Raw genomic sequence first — 24,165 nt, 5'->3', positions numbered from 1 at the left:
GTCTCCCAACACAGGGCTCAGTATTGAGAGGGCAGACTTCATCTACTTACAGAGATCACTGACCCCTGTTGCATTAGGCAGCTTATTTTAGACTAAATCTTTCTCAATACAGATGCTCCTCAATTTCCAATGGTGTTATGTCTCAAAAAACTTATCATAAATAAAAAAAATCACAGGTCAACAATGCATTTAATGGCCTGATAAACCCATCTTAAAGTCAAAAATTGTAAATGTAACCATCATAAGTTGGAGACCCTCTGTATTTGTGAAAGTAAGAATAGGATGTTGAGAGCAGGAAGGAGAAAATTAAAAAAAAAACAAAACAGGTAAACATTTTAAACAATTATTTTATTAAACGATCATCTTTTACATGTCATCAGACCTTACCCCTGAAGTGCAAAAAACAGTTTGAGGTATTAAAACTGAAGAAACATTTGCACATATTTTGTAAGGTTTTTCACACTATAATAACTGTAAAATTCAGTATAACTAAATACTCCATATAACTGCAGATTTATAAGAACAAAGTTGTAAAAAACAGACCTGGTTTATCTCATTATAACTCTGATTCTTCCATTTATGATGAAAGGGTGGCAAAAAATAATGTGATACTTACGTTGCTTCCCAAGTGACATGTGTCCATTATTCAATTCTATAAAATGGAGTATAGAATTGAAAAGGCCAACAGCTGAAACAGCAGCCGTTCCAAAAGCATAAAAATCAAATTGACAAAACAGCTTAAATGATATAATGTCCTATTCACAGAACTTAATCGTAGAATCAATGGCAATTCACTTAAAGTATCTGAAATAGATTTACCAGCATATTTCAATACTATCCATGTATATACAGGGTCACATTAGTAGTATGGTCAGTTAATCATGTTAACACAGATAAAGCTCAGAATAGTCACTTCAAAGTTATTTTAAAGTAACACAGGGAAGAGTAGATTGGCTTTTTATGTGATTTAAACTTTTTTTGTAAAGAAATTATCCAGAGACTTTCCAGATCCCACTTTACTTGGCAACTATACCTTGAAATAAAAAGTTGATGCAATTATATAGCTAATTATTATAATATAAACACTTCCTCCTGAAATATTCAGGCAAATTGGAGAAAAAGTGTTTTTCAACTTGAGGATTGATTTAATTATTAACTCACATTGTAGACATTTCCTTTGAAGCAATTGCTTGATGATTTGCATGCAGTATAGTAAATTAAGTCCGGACTAATGGGTCACAAATGTTGAATAGAAATTAGTGATTACAGCAATTGCTTATAGTTAACATGGCAATTCTAGTAACTTCACATGCTGGGTTTTGGTGTTGGCTATTAAATTGTTTTGTTTGTTCAGTGCATAGGTAGCTTAAACAAAGAGAATGTTGATTTTTTTTGTAAGAACATGGGCTGCTTAAAGCTTGCTTTTTTGCAAAACTGATAAAGGATCAGAAGCTTCTTGCAGTTTACTGTTAGAGGAAAATATTGTTTATTCATGGCAATTATGACACCTACAAGAAGATACCTTAAAAAGAAACCCTCTCCTGATTATTGCCTGGCATCGAAAATATGGGGGAAGGAATATCTTTTTATGTAGATTCCAACAATGTTCTGCAAACTACACTTAACCTAAGTTTCCTTTTTGTTTTAGGAAAAAGGGAATCTAAATTGTTAAAAACCCTTCTAGGAACTCTTTTCACAACTACAGCTTGTTTTCACATGTGATGATTCTTGAATTAAAAATAATCTTTGCATAGTTACCTCACTGCTGGAAGCACAGCTGCAACAGCAGCTGAACTGTTTACCTGGGAGGAGAGTTAACATGTGCTGGTGTTCTCACCTGAACCAGAAGAAGAAAACTGATCGCAGCCATTCCTATTCTAATGAATAATGATCTAGGGCCACTTAGCAGTAGCCTTGGAAGCTAACAACTATTTTCACTATCTTCTACACAAAAGGGTGCCCCAGGTTAAGAGATATGTCCCAAGAGTTTCTTTTAAAATGAATATGGTCAGACATGAAAATCGGCCAAAAACACAGGAGGTCATAGAATGAGTAGTTAAATCTCAGGTATCCAAATTGGCCAGTCCTATTAAAACACATCCTGAAGCTGGGAATATCCGGATTAAAACAAAAAGCAACATTTATTCTAGGACCACGTGTGCAAATCTAAATGCCATTAATGCTTAAGGGGGAAATGCAACACATTTCATTTTTTGTCTACTCCCACCTTTTATCTTTTAACCAACAATCAAAAGAAAACTGAAATAAAATGAAATATTACTGATCCTGTAAGCCCTAAGTCCTGAATATTTTTCACTTATTGTCAATATATTCACTGGTGGCATAAAAATACGGCTCGCCACGTACATAAGTGACAATAGCAATATAATAAACTTCTTTCACTATCATTATGCTGACAAGCTATACTGTGAAATTTATCAAACCTACAAATATTGAATGTGGACTGACATGAAATTCAGACGGAACACTGACTGCAGTCACACATAGTTTAGTCAGTGAAGCCTTCTCCAGAGAGCAGGAATCTGTTATAGTCAGTCAAAGACTGGGTTTCTTATGCCATTCAACACTAAACTTGTGGGTCCCTTCCTGTGCAGAAGGGCCAGTGAGCACAGAAGAAGAGAAAAGCTCGTAACTCCCAGAATGACCATTCCTGATATCAGTGCGCTGGTGATGGCGTTCAGCTGGAAGGGAGGCATACTTGGAGAACCTGCAAATAATAAAACACACCCGGTTGTAAAGGCCCCATATAATATTTATCTCACCTTGACCCAATTTTACCTGCAAAACATCTTTCATCAGCATCTCATAGAATAGCAGCATGGCACTGAATTGTGTTACAATCTATTTGACTGTAATTCAACCCAATACCAAAGGATTGTATGGTTTAGAGGCTGCCCATGGGCAGCCAAAATCAAAAATACCAAAAAGCTATCAAATGCTATAAAAATTGACCAATAGATCACATATGAGTTTGAAAACCCTCAGTGAACTGTTATCTAAAATGGACCAAACTTGGAAAACTCAAGCTCATTACACTTAGATGATTACAGCTTTGTAACTGATCACCAAAAATGTAAAAAACATTGCAAAATATGTTAATTATCTTACCAAGTTGCGAATTGTTGGTTGGAGTCTCATCTGAGGGGAAAAAACAGAAAAAGAGAAGTGACATCATCTCTCCAAATATTTACCTTTGTTTATTCTGATTAATAATTACATTGTACCTACATTTTTACCTGTTATCTCCTCTTACGTCCACCCATAATCTCCTTGAGTAAGGCAAAAATGAAAGTCCCCCTAAACCATTCTGCTTGTCCATGCCCTGTTTCATATGTCCTGGATTTCATCATCTTTCTATTCCCCAAGCCCACATCCTACCCCTGCCCTAGGTATACAAATGTAATAGAAAAAAATATACAGTGTGCTGTTTTCTTGCCTGACAACTTTGTTTCATCATTAGCTCTCCAGTCAGGCTGGTGGGGGCAGTAATCGTTAACAGCTATTACATTTTTTATGGCCCTATAACCTGCTATTTGTTATTCTGTTATACGGAATATTCATTATTTAGTGCCACTCTATTTTAAGTATTGCCAATTTGCCCAACGTAATCTGCAAACACATCATTTTAAGTTCCAAGAAGATAAATTTACACTTAATAACTATATGAAAGGAAAACATGACTCCTGAGCCTGAGTTGTAGTTTTATTTGCATCTGTTAAGTAAAAGATTGAAGCTGTTGATTTTTGACTTTTCCCTGCCAAACACAATAATAGATGCGATAAACATATTACTTGATTTCCCAATTTTTGTTGTCCAATTTGTCATCATGTTGCTATCAACCCTGGAGCTTGTACGAGCTCATATTTCATATTTGAAATAAGAGTAATTTCATATTTGTGTTTTAATATTTGTGTTTGTTATTTGAACCATATAATGCGTGCAATTGACTGTTTATTTCTGGAATATAAATATTATTACAATCAATATGTGTATAAAACCACATAGTTCATAAACTGCTGTTTCATATATTATCACATTTCATCCTCACAGAAGCCATATGGTTTGGATATTATTGCTACCCCCATTTTACAGATAAAGAAATTTCCATCTGTCACAGCCTTTATGACAGAGTAAACATGTGCTTAAAACAAAGCTCAGTTTCAGAGGCCTTTTTCTAAAATAATATAAACTGACCAATATGAAAAATATTTCTGGTTATGAAGATGAATATCTCAAGCTATGAATCTCTAGGATTAGTATTTTAAGCAAGTAATGGGAGAACCTGGTGAGATATTTATAAAATATCTGACACCATTTTTTTTCAGACACATGAATCTTGGCAGAAACGATGGTTCTGCTGTCTGATTCTGAAGTACAATGCTCAAAATTAATACAGCACTCATTCATAGGGTTCTTTAGAATGGTGCAATGCATCGCTATAGGACAAAAAGAAAAATAACACACATTTTTATTATACAACATTCAGAAAAATCCTAACCTCTAACCAACACTACTTTATAATAACACTTCCTTCTCATGGAAACAGGTGGGATGAATGGACTATGATCAATTCTTCCAAAATATCCATGTGCTCTTTTCCCAAGATGAGCTGCCTCACTGGAACATAGGAGGAGAATATATAATGCTAAAAATTTATTTTTGAAAGCTATTCTTTTTTTTAGAAATCACACTTAATTGCTTTAAAATATTTCAACTAAAAAATAGAAAGTTCCTTTCTAATAAGTGTTTCAAATAAGACAAGAGTGCTATGACTAGATGCCCTTTCTGCTATTTTCTGCATCCTAAGGTTAACAAAAGTCAGACTGTCCCCTGCACTCCCCGTATTACCACCAACACTTCCATAGAAACAGTATCTCAGTTGTCATTAATGAGGACTTCGCTGTGGACAAAAATCTCCGTGTGTGGGGAAAAGACACACCCTTTTCCAAATAAGACTGGAACGACAAAATCCAGGTTCCAGGACTCTGAAAAAATGAAAGCATACTACCTTTGGCAGGTGGTTGAAATCGAAACCTGTGATATTTGAATACTATTTGGAATTGTATTTGACAGTGAATAAAGGTAGAGAGAATTGCTTTATCTAGTTGCTATTTCTGGTAGCCTCCAATTTTTGTATTATTGCAAAGAAAACAAACAAACAAAAAAAATCAAAGCACTGTATAGCCTTGAAAGGGAAGGTAGACATTTTTTCAGGAGACTTTTATCCCACCACACTTTTTTATTCCTTGAACCCACTTGGTCTTGACATGTACATATATGCTAAAAGAAACACCTGAAGCCTTCTGGAATTAGAACTGATTGGAATACCAAACTTTTGGGGCTCTCCAAGAGTATATTTATCTATTTGAAAGCCTATAGGAGAAAGGTGATAGCAGCAATGCCACAGCCATTTGAAAGCCAGAAGTGGCAGACAAATTGTCATTCTCTGCTTTCTCATGTAAGTAGTTGAAATAATAATTTTAAAAATGACCACCAAAGATACATGCAGAATAATTTTTTTCTCTTAGTACTAGAAAAGTTTTTTTTTTAAAAAACTTTAATAACCTATGTAGTAAAATGGACCACACATCTCAAATTAATAAGCACCGACCTTTTTACTTTTCACAGTGTTACGTTCGTTCATAGTCTGTTTCTACCTCTGAACTCTAAGATCCCTGAGGACAAAGTCTGTGGCCTGTTCTCTACTATACTCCCAGTTCCTAGACGAGTGCCAGTCCCAAGAAGGGACAAACAAGTATGCTCAAATGAATTATTAACTACTCATAAAACTCAGCAATTCTAATCGAACAAGAATACGGCTTGGGTTTCTCCACAGGAATTTAAGTAAACAAAACAATTAGGTATTGTTTTCTGGTGTTGGTGCCTTTAGATTTCCAGAATTGTACTCTTTGATTAGCATTTCCCTATCCAAGCACTTTCAGCATTTTGAAGTTTTAAATAAGAACACTTCAGGAAATTTTTCTTGAGGGGTTGCATTATGAGGGTGTGAAGATTTTCCTAAGTCAAGTAACAAAACTATTAACTATGTTGGGTAAAAAATATCCAGAATGGATTTGATTTCATTAAAAAGCAAAACAAAACAGGAGTTCTCAGGTTTAACAACTTACTGAACTCTACCTAAGCTAGATGTCTAGGGAAAAGGAGTGGTTCAATGAGCAAATAGAGCAAAACTTCCAAGCATCAGAGAGCTTTGAAGAGAGCAAATCAAGCCTGAAATTGGATTTATCTATATAAAATTGGCCACAGGACCTGAAGAGATAAATTCTAGCTGACCTAAGGTAAAAATAAAGTGAAACTAAGGAAAAAAGGTAGTTCTGGTCATGAAGTTGAACATGAAGTTTGCACAGGATTTGCATGTGGATGGATATGGCTTGAGTTCTGAGTTCTGTGTTCATGTGGAATTTTTAAAAATATATATTTTCATGGATATCATAGTATTACAATGTAAACATCTTTATATGTATATGTTCCTTTAGGCAGTGAGACCACCATGATGATCAAAGAAGACCACGCCAAAATTGTATTTATCAAAATTATTTAAAAATAATTCGAGAGAGAATGAGAGAGGATTCAAGGGGACCCTGAAAGCATGAGTGTGCTCCTCTGGGGGCTCTGCTGGTGGAGAAACCTGAGGTGACCCTGAGAAAACTCTAGCATGTTGGGCAATAAGTGACATTCTTGAGGTGGAAACTGGTTGAAAATTGGAAAGAAATCCAGGCATGACATCAGAGGCATTGTGATAGCTCTTTGTGGTGTTAACATAGATATTTTGGGCAACTGGATGTGGGATGGATGAAACCTATAAACCTGGAGAGCTGGTTACTTATGTTAGAATTAGAGACTTCTACTTATTTATCTTTACTGGGATTTCGGGGGTCTTAGAATTTTTTTTGTATATTTAAAGATTATTTTACACTAACGATACGGTTTGCGTCCCCACCCAAATCTCATCTTGAATTATAGCTTCCATAATACCCACATGTTGTGGGAGGTAATTGAATCATGGGGATGGGTTTTTTTCCCATGCTGTTCTCATAATAGTGAATAAATCTCACAAGATCTCATGGTTTTATAAAGGGCGATTCCTCTGCACATGCCCTCTTGCCTGCCACCATTTAAGATACGACTTTGCTCTTCCTTTGCCTTCTGCCATGATTGTGAGGCCTCCCCACCCATGTGAAACTGTGAGTCCATTAAATCTCTTTTTCTTTATAAATTACACAGTCTCAGGTGTGTCTTTATTAGCAGCATGAGAATGGAGGAATACAGCTAAAAAATTATTTAAAATTTGTAATACTTAGTTTTGCATAGGCAAGAAGGAAGTAAGAAGGTAATTAAGGAGGAAAAGCCATCTACCCAAGATGAACAGAAGAAATGTCACTTTAAAAGTTCTTTTCTTATAGCAAACTGACTCTAGATATGCTCCATGGAAATAAAAATCTCTTTTATTGTGCCTACCCAAAAGCAATCCTAATTATTTGGCAACAAGAACTGAGTTTCCATTCAATGTAATTCTATGAGCCATTTCTGAAAGCTAGATAGAGATCAAAAATGGAACTTTCACAAGCTACAAACCAGTCTTTTTTTTTTTTTTTTTGAGACAGAGTCTCACTCTGTCAGCCAGGCTGGAGTGCAGTGGCACAATCTCGGTTCACTGCAACCTCTGCCTCCCTGGCTCAAGCAATTCTCCTGCCTCAGCCTCCCAAGTAGCTGTGATTACAGGCATATGCCACCACACCTGGCTAATTTCTGTATTTTTAGTAGAGACGGGTTTTCACCATGTTGGCCAGGCTGGTCTTGAACTCCTGACCTCAGGTTATCCACCCCCCTCAGCCTCCCAAAGTGCTGGGATTACAGGCGTGAGCCACCGCGCCCAGCCAAACCAGTCATTTTTAAGCCGGTCAAAGCACATACCAAAAATCTTCAGGGAGTATGGGCTAAGTTTGAAATTTCACATTTAATATATTTCTGCATTATTGAAAGGGCCTATTAGTTTGTTTTTAAATAATGTTAGGTCTACACAAACACAGGGAGGAAAGTAATTAAAGCAATTGTCTGAATTTTTTGGGCCAAAACCACTTTTTGCTGATTTGCCTATTTCAGGCAAAACTTTCTTTTGACTGTGGGATGGGCAGCATGGAGAAAAGATACCGAAAATGTAACTGAAACATAATAACAGCATTAAGGCTAATATAAAATGAAGAAAACATTATTAGCACATAGTCCAAATCAGAATTATTCTCTTTTTTGGGGGGAAATTTAGAACTACAGTGTTAGAAAAAATCTTAAAACTTTTATTTTAAAAATGAAGAAATATCTTAAAACTTTATAAACTTGTTAAAAACTTTTACTTTAAAAATGAAGAAACATTTTCCCAAAGAAATGAAATAAAGCCTCTAGTCGCATAGCATGTTAGAACAAAAGCTAAACCTAGAACCAGTTTTTCCGGCCTTAGTTTCAGAGTTTTTTATGCCACATCTCTGTTTTATCCAATGGACTCTGAAAGTCTCTGGGTTCACACTGACTTAAATCTACAAAATCTATATCCCTTTACATTGTGTGTGTGTATGTGTGTAGGTACATGTATGCACATATATTTGTATACATGAGGATATGTTTATAAAGAGTTATAAATAGTTGTGTCCATTAGATTATATGAATTCATGAGCACAAATGAATGCAGTAGATGAGAGTATGTAATATGCAGAATTCTGAAAGGAAACAAATGGTACTCAAACTGGGCCATGTACGGAGTGTTTAATAGGCTATTTATAAAGACGTGGAGAATTCACAAGAGAGAGTAGAGTTAAGGGATAAGGAGAGGGTTTTCAGAGTAGTTCTAGGGAGAGAATTGTCTGGGAGGAGCCCTGTGGACGCCACAATTTCTGTGCCCTCCCATCTGCTTACAGCACCACCTATTGGTCAAGCCCAACCAGAAACTAGAGGGCAAGGGAGCTAGAGGCTGCAGCGCACTCAAATTAGTAGTCATGGGCGACAGCAGGGCAGAGGACGGTGAAGCGGATCCACAGGGTATCCAAGCGGATACACACGTCCAGCATGAGCTGGGATCACGCCTGTAATCCCAGCACTTTGGGAGGCCAAGGTGGGTGGATTATGAGGTCAGGAGTTCGAGACCAGCCTGAGCAACATGGTGAAACCCCATCTCTACTAAAAATACAAAAATTAGCCAGGTATGGTGGCAGGCGCCTGTAATCTCAGCTACCCTGGAGGCTGAGGCAGGAGAATCTCTTGAACCCGGGAGGCGGAGGTTGCAGTGAGCCGAGATCACACCACTGCACCCCAGCCTGGACAACAGAGAGACACTCCGTCTCAAATAAATAAATAAATAAAACAGGTCCAGCATGGCCTACTCGTGTGTGCGTGTGTGTGTGTGTGTGTGTGTATGTGTGTGTGAAAACAGGAAACGTAGTAAAGACAATATTGCCCTTTGTGTGAAAGTTGAGTAAACAGGGAAACTACTGTGAAATTAAAGTTGCTTAGTAGTTTATCTTGTCTCACAATTAATTAGTGCTGTTTAGGAACCACTTTGAGTTCTCGTTAGAAGCCAAGTAACGAGGCATTTTGGAACCGTCTATTACTACATACAGAAGGAGGAGCACACTTACCACTCCGAGTAATGATGGGACCAGCAGAGAGCACCGCGCTGCCAGAAGAGCTCTGGGGGCTCCAAGTCGTCCTCCTCCCAGCATCTCTCCTTTCTCTGTGGCTGCAAATCTGAGGTGTTAATGAAAACAAATGAAATTCCACACCGGCGCAGAATTGTTTCTTTATGGCCATTTGGAAAGCAGATTCTTTTGGAAGAGATACCACATGTTTAATTTTATTCATTTCCTTCCGTGCATTTATTTAATTACTTTGCATGTAACTGCTACAGTGTTTCTTACCCTGGCTTGGGCCACATTTCTTATTTCCTCCCGCTGTAATTGTGCACTGCCTCATTAATTTACATAGCTCAATGGCTCTCTTGAAAAAGTGCTGTGTTTATCAAACTTTTCTACTTTTATTTCTCTCAAGCCTTTAATAAATCCTTCCCGGAAATGTTGGTCAGCATGGACTCAAGGTAATGTGGACTCTCCATTTACCCCCATCTGTCATAGCTTATTAGTCCAAAGGGATCAATGAGTATGAAGAAATAGCTTCCCATTTATGCATAAATTGAACATAAATATAAACATATTAATGGTATTTCAAATTAAAAAAGGGCATGCATTTTTCTCAGGTTAATAATGATGTGGCCCTAGAGAGCCGGTCAGAATAGAATTTTTTTTATTCACTACTTTAAATGGATCTTTATTTTAATGGTGGCTGTATGCAATACAGATGCACACCTTTCATTGCTTTTAACTTTTAAGCTCAGTGATTTCCCGACCATCTGGCCACAATCTACCTTTCCAGCACCAGCCCAGTCCACTCCCTGGGTTTTCCAATCATCTCTACTCTGCTCTACAACCCTACTGAAGAACTAGAAGCTCTCTGATCACACTAATTTATGTGTCTCTGTCTTTGACCATCGTTTGGCCAGCAATGTCTCTCACACTCTTGATTTTGGTTCTCTGGGGTTCAGTCCTCTTCGAAGTAACAGCTGGAGTTCATCTCTAACAATCCTCTCAACCTCTCCTGCTTCATCTCTCTCACAATGGTGAATACTGCCTGTTACTACAACCCATATATTTGTCTGCCTTTGCACCATAAGATTTTTGTCTTGATTTCTTCTGTGACTAGCTAATGATCCTAAAGAATAATCTAATTAAATTCAGAATTTGTGCACACCTCATCTCTGTATCCTCGGTATAATGCTTGGCACAAAGTAGGATATTTAGCAGATCTTTACTAGACAAATGAATAAATCCTACTTCAAACTATTTGATCTAACACATATCCACTTTCTATGCAGAACTTAGTTTCTGACATTTGATAACCTTTCAGCTTAGATCAATTCAACAACTTAAAATGAAGTTCCTTAAAAACATACCGGCATAAGGAAGGGGCAGTCATCTGCTCTGCAGAGCTTGGTAACGCAGTGCAAGAAGACAGTGGACATTTTCTGATTCTTGTGTTTCACAAATCGGAACACTTCAAAAGAAAACCGGCCCCGCTGGCTTCGGCCATTCTCAATGACGGTGGTCTGAGGGTCCTTGTCACAGCTAAATTTTAGGGAACGTGAAAACAGGACATCACTGGAAAGTACCAACCTACTGGGACTTGTAAATTAATTTCTACCGTATTAAGACTCCGCCATTACATTAAGAGCTAACAGAACCATGCCACGTTACAGATATTTAATCATAGCATAAGCTAATTCAACAGATATGACAATAAAACCTGGATCACAAAATTTAAACAGATCAGTTTCTGATTGCATTAATAGTTAGAAGAATTATACTTTCATGTAGTTCAAAAATCCAAATAATTTAAAATACATAGAAACCTGCCAGAGGTGATCTCACTTATTTTCATTCTCATTTATTTTCATTTATTTTCACATCATTCCCAGGGTATATGAAAATAGAAACAGAAGCAATGTATTCTTATTGTCCTCCCTCCTTAAACAAATGATAGCATATTGTCTACACTATGTGGTACCTCGCCTTTTAAAGATTTAGCAGTGTTAGAGATCTTTCCGTATCAATATTTAGAGAGCTTCCTCATTTTTTTCCACAGCTGTATAGTATTTCATCATGGACATGTTTCAGAGTTTATTTAATCAGTTTCCTATTTATGTACATGCATTGTTTTTGAATCTTTTGCTTTTTAAAAACTAATAATGAATAATCTTACAATATATCATGTTGAACATGTACAGGATTAACTACAGAATACATCCATATAATCATTTAATAGATATTGTCACTTTGCCCTATATAAATATTATTCAATTTTGGACTTCACAAGCAATATATGAAAACAATGCTTACTTCTCCAGAGCTACATCAGCGAAATGTATGGATCAAATTTTTTATTATTCCCTATTTGAGAGTAAAAATGAACTATCACCCTATAATTTTAACTTGTATTTTCTTATAATTAATGAGTTTGTGTATCTTCACATACCTTATAGTCATTTGCATTTCTTTATCTGAAAATGGTTTGTGTCTTTTGATCAATTCTGTTGTGTTCTTGGCCATTTTCTTTCTGATTCTTATGAGTTCTTTTATGTATTAAGAAAAGTGGTTACTGGTTGTTATATAAGTTGCAAATTGTTTCCCTTTGTTATTTGGCTTTGGACATTCCGTGTGTGTGTGTGTGTGTGTGTGTGTGTGTGTGTGTGTGTACAGTTTTATTCTTACGTAGTTAAATTTTCAATATGTTATTTTGTGGCTTCTAGTATTTACACTGAAGCCAGTTTCCTTACTCCAAAGTTTTAAAGGTATTTCTCTTGTTTTATTCTACCAGTTTTAAAGTTGTAGTTTTTACCTTTAAATTAATAATCTATTTAGGTTTTATTATGGTATATTGAGTGAAGTATAGGTCCAATACTATTTTTTATCTTACTGTTATCCATGTCCAACACTGTTTTAAAAAATCTACTTATCCCACTGATTTGTGGTACCACACTCTATCTTACACTAAATTCCCATATGTTTGGGGATCTATTTCTCAGTTTACTGTTCTGTGACTTTTGTCTATGTGTCTAGCTTTGCATAATATCACATTCCTTTAATAATTGTGACATTTTATTGATTGTGATATCTGATAGAACCATACTCTGCTCATTTCCATGTTGATTCCCGGCTTATCTTTTTGTATTTGTCATTTATCCCTTTTTTTCTTGACGTGATTAGCTTGTGATTCTCTATTAATGTATTTTTTCAAGGAACCAACTTTTTCTTAACTTCTTCCAAAACATTGGTTCATATTTTCATTTTTGATACAAGTCTTATTTATGGGTTTTACAACTTCCAAGTGGTGAGGACTTTCTGGTTTTTGATATCGTTATAAATTGCTGTCTCTCTGTATATAGCTTATTGCGTATGTCGTTTAGATTTTCTGTATCCTTACTTCCTTACTTACTTGTTGGCCACCAGAAGTAAGTTTTGTAAGAGGTAAAATTCTAATTTTTAAATTTTATTTCTATGTCTTTTTATATTTCCCCTGGTTTCCACTTAATGAAATCTTCAATTTCATCCAGGGCATCATTTCATTATATCAATGTAAGATTTTTTTTTAATTTAGGAAAGTGTTCCTGGATTATATTTTTAAACAATGTGTTCTATTATTTTGGCTTTTGGGGGGACAATTCTAATTATGCATATTATACATATATCGAATTCCCTTTCTCACCTTTTTATTTCTATCTTTCTTACTTAATCCTCTTTTTATTTTCCTTCATATTTGTTTATTTTTATTTGTATTTCTTATACTTATCTTTCATGTCCCACACTGTTTCTGCTGTGATCTGCACTCCTTTGAATGCCTTCTAATTACATGTCCCTTCCTCTCACACATTTTTTTGTATTTCTGTTTATTTTCACTTATCCCAGTTTCCTTTACACATTTCCATAGCCATGGCTTTTACTGTCCTATCCTTACTTACCTAAGTTCTCATAATTCTATCTTCATAACCATGATGCTTTTTGCTTTTTAAAAATTAATGTGGGAATGTATATATTATATATTCCATGGCAGCATTTTTCTGGTGAGTTTAATTCACCTTTAAATTTTCTTTTCTGCCATTTTCGATATTTTTCCTGTAGAATATTGGAACACTGCAAGAAATACCTGCATCTGTTTATCATTCAAGTTTGAAAGAGTTGGATTTCCCTAAACCTAAAATTTTTAGGACCCCTAAGGCAATGTGGAATGGTAAATACCTTCCTTAAGGGTTTCCCCAACTCAAGGGCTCCCTCCTCTGTTTTTCAATAACAACTTTCTTTGAATATAGCAGAACTGTGCAGCTGACTGAACTTAAAAGATATTCACAGGGTTCTACCATCAGCCCTGGGTTCCTGAGGTTTATTCACCAGCCTTGCCACCAAGGACAGAGCCCCTGCCTTCCCAGGCGATTCCTTTACCTTTAGAAGGTATACTTTTCCTGGTACTTTATGAGATCTGCCACTTCTGAGGCTCTGAGCATTCTCTACTGTTTTTTCTTCAGATTCCCCAGCCCTGGGGATAGCAGTTTCCATTCAAAGTAGTGCCCTTTCCTTCTAGGTGTGTATTTCTCCAGCTGCTTCTGGGAGCTGACTCCCTTAAGACCCCCTCAGCACCCACTTTTCTTCCTTGCCTTCCTTACCACCTCTTCTACACTGCTTTTTACAACATTTTCTCTTGATCTTAACTGTTTTCACCAACACTAGCATTTACTTTAGAATTTCTAGGTTTTCTTTTCCTCCTAGATTCACAAAAAAGGACATTTGGGAAATTTTTTTTCTTTAGTTATGCATTTCACTCTGAATGGTTTCCAATAAGAAAACTGAAAAGATTCAGAACTAAGCTGCTTCTATATTCACACTAGAAGTCTGATGATCATATTCCAGATTATCAATATATGAGGATTATAGAAGTTTGGGAAAATAAGAGAAATGTCAAAAAAAATCCATAACCCTACCAAGCATAAAAAACCACTGTGAGCCTTTTGCTGTTTCTCTTTACAGTCTTTTCTGTTATATAAATGAAGTTCATTATATACACAATTATATATTAGGTTCCTTTTCCTTGATATTTTAATACCTTTAAATGTTAAAGAATCAATTATTTTCAAAGATAGAAATACCAATAGGACAGAAAGGGAGAAGGTAGGAGAAAGCCAACCATTTTTTTCTATCTAATACATAACTTTATATGATTGTAGTGCCTGTATGGACTCTCAACTTACTGGTTGTCCATAATTCACCTAGCTATTTCCTTATTGCTGAATGTATAATTTGTTCCCATGTTTTACTATTTTAAATATCACTGATAGACCAGAATGTCATAAATATTTTAAACTATATTTCCCAATTTGTAAAGCTAGAATCAAAGAATATGAAATTTTTAAGTATTTTGATACATACTGACAATTTTTCCCAAAAATGTTGCTCAAATTAACATTTCCAGAAATAGGATATGTAAGAATAACAGTTTGACCATACCCTCTGAACATCATCTTGCCCTTGATTAGCCAATAAAGTGTATTCTTTTGGTTTCCCATTATATTACTTCCATCATGTGTCAATTAGCTGCAGTGAGCTGAGCCAATTGCAATTTATAAGCATGATTAGAAGACATTGCTTGACTCTCAAGTCTGTTCAGCTGTCAGATAAAAAATGCTGAAAAGGAACTGAGATGATTGAATGGTTTTATGATCAATGTCCTTTTTTCCCAGATATATATTACATTCACTCTATATCACTGTCTATTGGGGAAGGAGGATGAAGTTATTGGCTCTAATAAGAAAAGGAGTGGTAGGTTATATTATAGTTTTATACTAAATACTGATAAATGAACAAAAGTATTTTGGGGTCTAAATTATCCAGACCATTACTTTAATTTTACTCTCCTTTTGACATATGAGACAGTCTAGTTGCAGATAAATAGTAACCTCTATTGCATTTCTTTTCCTGCGAATAATATCCTAACTATGCGTTTCCTAAGACAGTGAAATATTCCCATATTCCTAAACATGAATAAAACATCTTTGGTGGACATAACTTACTTAGAACTCTGATTCAACAATAGCCTTATCAGCATTTTGTGTTGATAACTGCTCTCAAATTTTATACTTTCAGCTTTATAAGGACTCAAAGTTCAAAATGTAAAACTTGAAATTCAAAAGCTATAATAGTGCTTTATAATTTATCTGACTTAGATATTCCATTTCAATTATCTACAACTGGGTCATTGGTATCAATATAATACTTAGACAGCTAAGTCTTACCTAAGGAAAAGATCATATCGAATGTCATCATTTGGGTTTCCTGATGGGGTAGTATAGCAATAATCCATTAAAACATTCCATCTGAAAGAATGTAAGCAAACATAATCTAGAGTCAGAATTTCCTTTTGGATATTAGTTACTAATACAAGGGAAGTAAATATTGAGAAACTTCTTTTTCCTTCTTTCTTTCTTTTCTTTTTTTGAGACGGAGTCTTGTTCCGTTGCCCAGACTGGAGTGCAGTGGCACCACCTCGGCTCACTGCAAGCTCCGCCTCCTGGGTTCACGACATTCTCCTGCCTCAGCCTCCCGAGTAGCTGGGACTACAGGCGCCCGCCACCAAGCCCGGCTATTTTTTTTTTTTTTTTTTGTATTTTTAATAGAGACGGGGTTTCACCGGGTTAACCAGGATGGTCTCAATCTCTTGACCTCGTGATCCACCCTCCTCGGCCTCCCAAAGTGCTGGGATTACAGGCGTGAGCCACCGCGCTTGCCTGACAAACTTCTTATCTCATGGAATATAATTGTTTATTACTTGTTATTTGCGGAAGTTTATTGTTCATTAAAACTTTCTCTTATTCCATCCTGCTTATTTCACATGCATGCCTGTATCAAAACATCTCAAGTACCCCATAAATATATACACCTACTATGTACCCATACAAGTTTTTAAAAAGTAAGAACTTTCTCCTGAACTCAAAGTGTTTAAAAATCTGCACCAAATTGTCAATTTCACATTAAGGGGAGTCAAGTCTAATGCCATAAAATAATTGTGTACAAGACAACTGAATGGTCAAAGTCTGAGAAGTAAACTTTAAAATGAGCTACATAGATGCTTATATGTTCACTATAAACAATAGCTTTTTGTTTCTAGATATTACTGTCTCTAACAGAATCAGAGAATGTTATAATACCAAATACAACAAAGGAGTTTAGAGCATAAATTGTATATCAGAATCAGTGGTTTGGCGATTGTGGAGTCCACAATAGACACTGTGTTAGGGTGAAGAAAGCCATGAGGCACATACATATCCACAGCCTTCCTCCACAAGGTTAGATTTTGCTCACATTTATACATTAGTCCATTCCAACTCCGATGTTATAAAAAAAATACTAATCCATGGGAAGCGAATGCCAATGAAATGGAAAAAACTCCTGCATTATTAAAGGACAATTTTAAAGACTCATACAAGAATAGAAATATTCTTCAGGACAGGAAGGGAGAAGGTAAAGAAGAACTAAATTTATAGAGTATACCAATCTCTTCAGGATGCAAAGTTTAAATAGTAATACATAAGCAACCCAAAACAGGCCATTTTCACATTACATTTTTTTATAGGGCACGGTTAGAGCTTCAGCTTTTGAGCTCCATTTTAGTTTGATTGCTCTGAATTTTCTTAAGTATCATCTGAAATTTAATAGTTTTTTTATAGAGATGTTTCTGGAGATCATTTTATGTAATTTTGACACACTCTTATGCAGAGTCCTTTCATTCTTTAATAAATTCATATTGAAGAGTAACATACATATGGAAAAGCAAGCAAATCAAGTGTTCACAGAATGACTACATTTGGTTAATCATCTTTCTGATGAAGAGATACAACATTTCGGCATCCCAGATCTTCCCATGCCCCGTTCCAAGAACCACCCCCCTTCTTTATGGGAAGACTTGTTATTCTCCAATTAATGACAGAACATGAGTGTAACCTCTTAAACTTTGTAATCTGTTATTTCTTTTTAGTAGCATGCCTAAATGGTGTGGCAATGATAATATTTTCAAACTGAATTTAAAAATGAATGGCCCAACTTTATGACTCATGAGGATTTAGGCAGTCAAAGAGTTTTAACCTAAAAAAGACAAGAGTTTGAAATTACCTGCCATCCAAATTAGTGGCTTGGACAGCTGCAAATACTTTGGTTTTCAAAGGTAATCCTATACTGGGGATAATTAACTGCTGGTTGTAGGTTGAATCCTAATGATGAAACAATAAAAAATCTATTATTACCTCCCCAACAACAGCACACTTACTACTTAAAACAACAATATTAGAGAGAGAAAAAAGAAAGTAAATCAACATAAACCTACAGAATCAATCCAAAAAGGATTTACGTGACCCTCTGGTTTCTTGGCAGAACTGTTATTAAGCCATATCCATGTAACAAATTGATTCCATGTGTGAATCTTTTTGTTTCCATAGTTTACCATATATGGTGGCTAATGTTCACTGTATCTAAATTATATTCAGTGGTCACTAGTTAATATTCAGTTTGGTTAATATTCAATGGTCAATATTTAGTTTACTTAAATTAATGTTCCATTTATTTGATTATATTAGAGACTAATATTGAGTTTATTTAAATTATATCTGTTTAAATTTAAGCCCTTTACTGTAGGCACTGTAGTTCTTATACTTCTGATAATATTTTATTTACCAAAAATCACTTACCTGGCAAATTGAAATTGTTAAAGTTTAATTGAAAACCAAAGTAAGACCATTTTAAAGTCACAGAAGAATAGAAATTTTCTTCTAGGGAGAATAGAAGAAACTACAGGAGAACCAAATTTCTAGAATGTATCAATATCTTCAAGATGCAAGCTTTAAATAATAATACACAGAAAACCAAAATGAGACATTTACTCATTACATTTTTTATAGGGCAAGATTCAGCTTTTGAGACAAACACAGACTCCAAGCTGCTAAAATACATGCCATATGGTTCCTGCACAAATTCTTTAGAGGTCACTTATAGAAGGGTATCTCAGGACTTCATTTTTACTTTTCTACCCTTATTTTGGACCAGTTCTAGAGAGCTTATTTGTATCATTCTCAAATCCACAGTAGATTAAAGCATCGGATTAGAAATTAAGAAGTAGCAGGTATAATTTGATAATGAAGAAAACCAGAAAAAATAGAGTGCAAAAAACAAACCAAAAAAACCCTCCAAATTTAAGCAGTCACATCATTTAACAGAGGCCAATTGTTTCCCTAAACTTAGTAATTCTGAAGACATTGCTGTTTGGCAGAAAAGTTTTAATGTTCATTATAAAATCTTAAAATCATTGGGAAAGACAACATATCAACCATAATATCTTTAGAAGGCTTGGAAGAAAGCAAAATATTTTGAATTTTATAATTTAAGACAGTAATAGTTGGGATGCTTCATTTTTGGAAAAAAAGTTAATACGAAACATTTTATTGCCAAATAAAGCCAAATATATAAGAGATATACTTAAAAACTGATACTCTTCAGTCTTTTGTTTTCTATATTTTGGTGATAAATGATTAGCTCCTCTAACCATGTCTGATAGGTAGTATTTTTATGTGATTATCTTTCAGGCTCCCTTTTCCAACTTCTCCAAATAATCTACACTTCATTAACTATACAGCCCTTTCATCTTATATTTGCATCATTATTGTGCAGAAGAATGCTTACTTTCTTTACAACATTATATTGCTGAGTCATTTTGCAAATGACATATGATCCACCTGTGATTTAATTATGAATCATCAATTTTTTCCTACTGGAATTGCTTCTAAGAGGTAATTTTCTGACTTTAATTTGTATGGTGGCTTTTACTCATTAGTAATATATTGTCCCTAAAATCAATTATATCCATTTTAATTTTTCTCCAACATTTAAAAAATGTTCATAATTATAATAACCTTATTTAATATTTGCTGACTCTCCACACTCTCAGAAGAATCTAACATTTAGGTAGAATTCCAATACACAAAGGCATCCTTACTTTCCATTTCCACAATGAACAAAACTGACATATTTATATTGCACAAAATAAAGCCACAGTTCAACTGGTAATCTGCATATATGAAAATCACATAGCTGATAGAAGTCATTGGTTTTCTAAATATAATTTCCCCTCAGTATACTTACTGAATCCCAGAGCACATAAAAATAAACTATTGTGCTACATCGAACTGAGTGCAACTTTTCCTCTCCAAATAACAAATCAGAAAATGAAAGTAGTTGGGATGTAATATAAAATTTCATTATCCTCAAGGGTTAGAAATAAAAAACATTCCATGTGAAATAGGAATTAATGGCTTCAAAAGATTATAATATTTTATTTGGAATGCTACAATAAAATTACATCTGGCTAGCTACATGTTAATATTTCAAAAATAATAAGTATGATTTTGGATCAACTAATGAAAGTATATCAAAATTTTTTCTAGGGTAAATTACTAATTTTTAAAAATCCTGTAAAATGGCAAAATACTATGATGACACTGTGTTAAAAAATTTTTAGTTTGAGGCATTGAAACTCTTCTGTATTATACAGCAATGATGAGCAAATGCCACTTTATATTTGTCAAAACCCATAGAATGTACAAGAGGAAGAGTAACCTAAACATAAAAGAAATGTCAACTATGGACTTTGGTTAATAATGTATCAATATTGGTTTATTAATTGTAACAAATGTTTCACACTAACACAAGATGTAAATAATAGAAAAAAATATGTGCAAGGGGAGGGGGTATATGTGGGAACTCTGTACTTTCTAATCAACTTTTCTGCCAAACTAAAACTGCTCTATAACTGATTTAAAAAGAGAAGTATTTTGGCACCATCTATTTCACTTGTAGTCTAATATCAAAAAATTGGTTATCGTATAATTAAAATATTAAGGTTATCATCTAATTATAGGCTTTTTTAAGCATTACAATTTCAGAGATTCTTTTAAGGATTATACCTTGTTAGCAACAGAACTACAGTACCATCTCTTAATGATAAAAGAAAGACCTTAATAACAAAGCCTTCCTGAAATCCACACTTCAAAATTTTGATTTTCTGCTATTTCAGTGAGAGAATAGTTTAATTTCACAGAAAATAATAGTATCATTACATGTCATATGGATCATATTTTTCAGTTTTTTAGAATCAGGAATTCTCATCTTTGTCTCACTCAATTAGAACAAATAATATTAAATCCAACTAGTAATCTCAACTCAAGCTCAGACAGCTTATGCATATAAATTAACAGACGGGAATTTTCCAGTTTAAAGTTATATAAATATTGTTAACAACAATAGTAAATATCTGACCATATCAAAAGTGAATACTGGCACACGCTTGCTGAGTATTGTAGAACCAAGTATCTTGGCAGCTTCCTTTTTTTTTTTTTTTTTTTTTTTTTTTTTTGAGACGGAGTCTCGCTCTGTCTCCCAGGCTGGAGTGCAGTGGTGCTATCTCGGCTCCCTGCAACCTCCGCCTCCCGGGTTCACGCCATTCTCCTGCCTCAGCCTCCCGAGTAGCTGGGACTACAGGTGCCCGCCACCACGCCCGGCTAATTTTTTGTATTTTTTAGTAGAGACAGGGTTTCACCGTGTTAGCCAGGATGGTCTCGATCTCCTGACCTCGTGATCCACCCGCCTCGGCCTCCCAAAGTGCTGGGATTACAGGCGTGAGCCACAGCACCCGGCCGACAGCTTCTCTTTGCAGAAGAAAGTTTAGAAACGACAGAAAGGCAATCTTGATTCTAACACATTTTAATTTGTTGTTTAGAACTCTGTGGTGTCAGACTACAAACTTATAAACATGATTTTTTTAAATGCCTTTGGAAAATGTCCTACTACAATATTTATAGCTCATTATATTCAAAGTATAAAGCACTGACTTTTAAATCAGTTGCATGAATTATAACTCAGTGCCATGATGACATGAATAATAATGCAAAAATCCGATTCATAATTTACAGAAATGTTGGTTGATAGATTGAAAAATTGATATTTAAATCAGGCATTTAAAATGTATGAATAAAAATTTTTAATCAACATCAAAATATCATTTGGGGGATTAATGTCAGAGGTATAAATAGAAATCCATGTATTTTTCACGTTTTGCTGCCAATGTCGATATTTACATGACAAAAATTTAGATAATGCTATGTAGTCAATCCAAATTATTTCAGATGTGACAGAATTGTCATCAGCCAAAACCCATATTGAAAATATTAACACATTCATCACCAAGGATGCCTCCAAGGGAAACACCATTTGTACTGTTAAAATCTTTGTATCACACATAAAAAAAATATATATTTCCTAAATCTTGAAGCTAACTGTAGCTACTCACACACCCCTACCTAAATAAACAAATAAATACATGTAAATGTAGGTAGACATTTGAAGTAATTATTTAAAATCACACTTACGATATAAAATTTAAATCTTATATCAACTTTTAGAAAATTTAATGGAGATATTATTATACCTTTATCACTAAGATATATGAAAATGGTAGCAAAAATAGATAAATGTTACCAAGGCATAACAGGGTTAATGTGGCTTTCAGTAGATTTTTATATAAAAGCCATTCACATAAATGACTCCTCACAACAGTGAAAGAGAAAATAACATCCTTCACCCATCAACTTACGTTATAAAGGAGCAGGTTCAAAGTGCTGACAAATGTGCCATTGTTCTCTCTCACAGAAATAGCCGCTGAGGACCTAAAACACATTTAGAAAAAGGAAAGCACTGATGAGATTTTAGAGTAAAAGTGATACCTAGATGTTAGACTTAAAGCACTAAAACTCCTGAATAATTCTGACATACTGTTAATTATACCTGGAGTTGCTATACTGTTTAAATCTCTGAACAGATAAAATACTAAAAAAGCAAGAGGGAACAAGTAAAGACAAGCTATTCTTTATGATCATTTTATTTTTAAAGCAATCTTTTTTGTTTGTTTTGCATTACTTTTAACAGGCTTTTGGCAGATAAGGGCTTGAATCTAATGCAAATACACTTTCATCAATTCCATTAGAATAGAAGTTTCATGAGATCAGGGAATCTGGTTTACTTTGTTCATTGCTAGAACATTGGATGGTAAATAGTAGGTAAATGATAAATTGAATAATCAATGAATTTCCATGGAATTGAAACTCAAGAATGTGTTCAGTGTGTGGACTGGGGGCAGAGTGAGAGATGCTTCCCTGTACACCCATATTGTTTTGACTCGAGGCCTTTCCTTTCTCATTTTCCATGTCAAAGTCTTGCTTCTGACCAAGGTGCTTATCATTACTGTGCTATTAAAACCAGCTATGAATATTTTTTCAATGAAGTAGAATGTGGCCTCCACATTTCCTCATAACTAAGATTAAGCAATAACTAAGACTTAATAATAGCAAATCCTAAAATTGGAGAAAGCGTTCGCTTAATCATCCCATTTTGTCAAAAATATTCAACAAATCCAGGTGATTATATTTTAATGTGGGCATAGCCCTCTCCTGGAGTACGTGCTTTGGAAATAATGCATACGTGAATATAAACAGAAGGCTACACCCTCAGTCCGTATTTGGAGCTCCTTGCCTAAAGGCCATGCCATGTTTCTGGGAGAATCATGAGCACCCTTCCAGGTGACAGCTCAACAGAGGAATGGAGATCCCAGAATCTGGGGTAGCACAGCCCAGCAGTGAAAGCATATGGCCAAGAGGGAAGCCAAGCAAAATTCAGCAATGTAGTTACCAAATGTCGTACACACTGGAGACGCCACAGGGCCTCCAGGGCCATGAAACACCCAAGGCTCTTGGGCAAAGGGAGTGAAGAGAACCCAAGGCAGACAACTGGCTAGTTTGAGTCAGCTTGATTTGGGGGAAAAACTGGTTTGGGTCTGTTATGGATCATAACAATTAGAGATAGATAGATAGATAGATAGATAGATAGATAGATAGATAGATAGATATAATAGATAAACAGATAGAGGTAAATATATTAGACATAATATGTTTCCCATTACATTGTTTGAATTTAACTATTTTTAATAAATCCTGCTATCTTTCTAAGTCCCTGAAAGATACGAAATGCCTGAAGCAAAAATGCAATATGAGAAAGCAGGAATAAAATGCAAACTTACGAAGCAAGCTGGGTATTATTAACCAGGTATTCCAATGGATAACTACAACTAAATTTGTAAAGAAGCCCAGGTAGATAGCTGATGATTGTTGGTGGGTCTGGAGTATCAATATATCCTGAAATATTTCCTACTTGCACTGAAGTTGCATTTCCATAAGCACTGACTCCAGGAATTGTGGATACCTGTTAGAATGTTAGATGCAGTTTAATGATTAAATGGCTATATATACATCTAGGCACTTCATATGCAAAATAAAACATTAAGCAAAATCTATTCTAGAGTCTAGTTCAACTATAAAATGAGAAGGTTTTGAAATATCAAGTTTATAAGTGAGAAATGCAATTTATAAGTGACATGTAAGTAAATGAA

General features: G+C 35.0%; 1 protein-coding gene across 4 annotated transcripts in view; it reads right to left on the bottom strand.

The window, feature by feature from the left end:
* Nucleotides 1–329: 329 nt before the first annotated feature.
* Nucleotides 330–24,165, bottom strand: part of ZPLD1 (zona pellucida like domain containing 1) — a 94,698-nt gene continuing 70,862 nt past the window's right edge. For all 4 annotated transcript variants that reach the window (XM_017005703.1, XM_017005704.1, NM_001329788.2 and 1 more), the window contains 8 exons: nucleotides 23,797–23,978; nucleotides 22,318–22,390; nucleotides 17,793–17,890; nucleotides 15,920–16,000; nucleotides 11,036–11,207; nucleotides 9,669–9,777; nucleotides 3,130–3,159; nucleotides 330–2,728 (listed from right to left, as the gene is read on the bottom strand). In XM_017005703.1, coding sequence (XP_016861192.1) covers nucleotides 2,553–2,728; nucleotides 3,130–3,159; nucleotides 9,669–9,777; nucleotides 11,036–11,207; nucleotides 15,920–16,000; nucleotides 17,793–17,890; nucleotides 22,318–22,390; nucleotides 23,797–23,978 — 921 coding nt within the window. In that variant the 3' untranslated portion in view covers nucleotides 330–2,552. The remainder of the gene's footprint in view (nucleotides 2,729–3,129; nucleotides 3,160–9,668; nucleotides 9,778–11,035; nucleotides 11,208–15,919; nucleotides 16,001–17,792; nucleotides 17,891–22,317; nucleotides 22,391–23,796; nucleotides 23,979–24,165) is intronic.

Source organism: Homo sapiens, chromosome 3 (assembly GCF_000001405.40).
Source record: "Homo sapiens chromosome 3, GRCh38.p14 Primary Assembly".
Classification (NCBI taxonomy): domain Eukaryota; kingdom Metazoa; phylum Chordata; class Mammalia; order Primates; family Hominidae; genus Homo; species Homo sapiens.
Note: the sequence above shows the minus strand (reverse complement) of the source record. Positions and strands in the feature narration are given on the sequence as shown.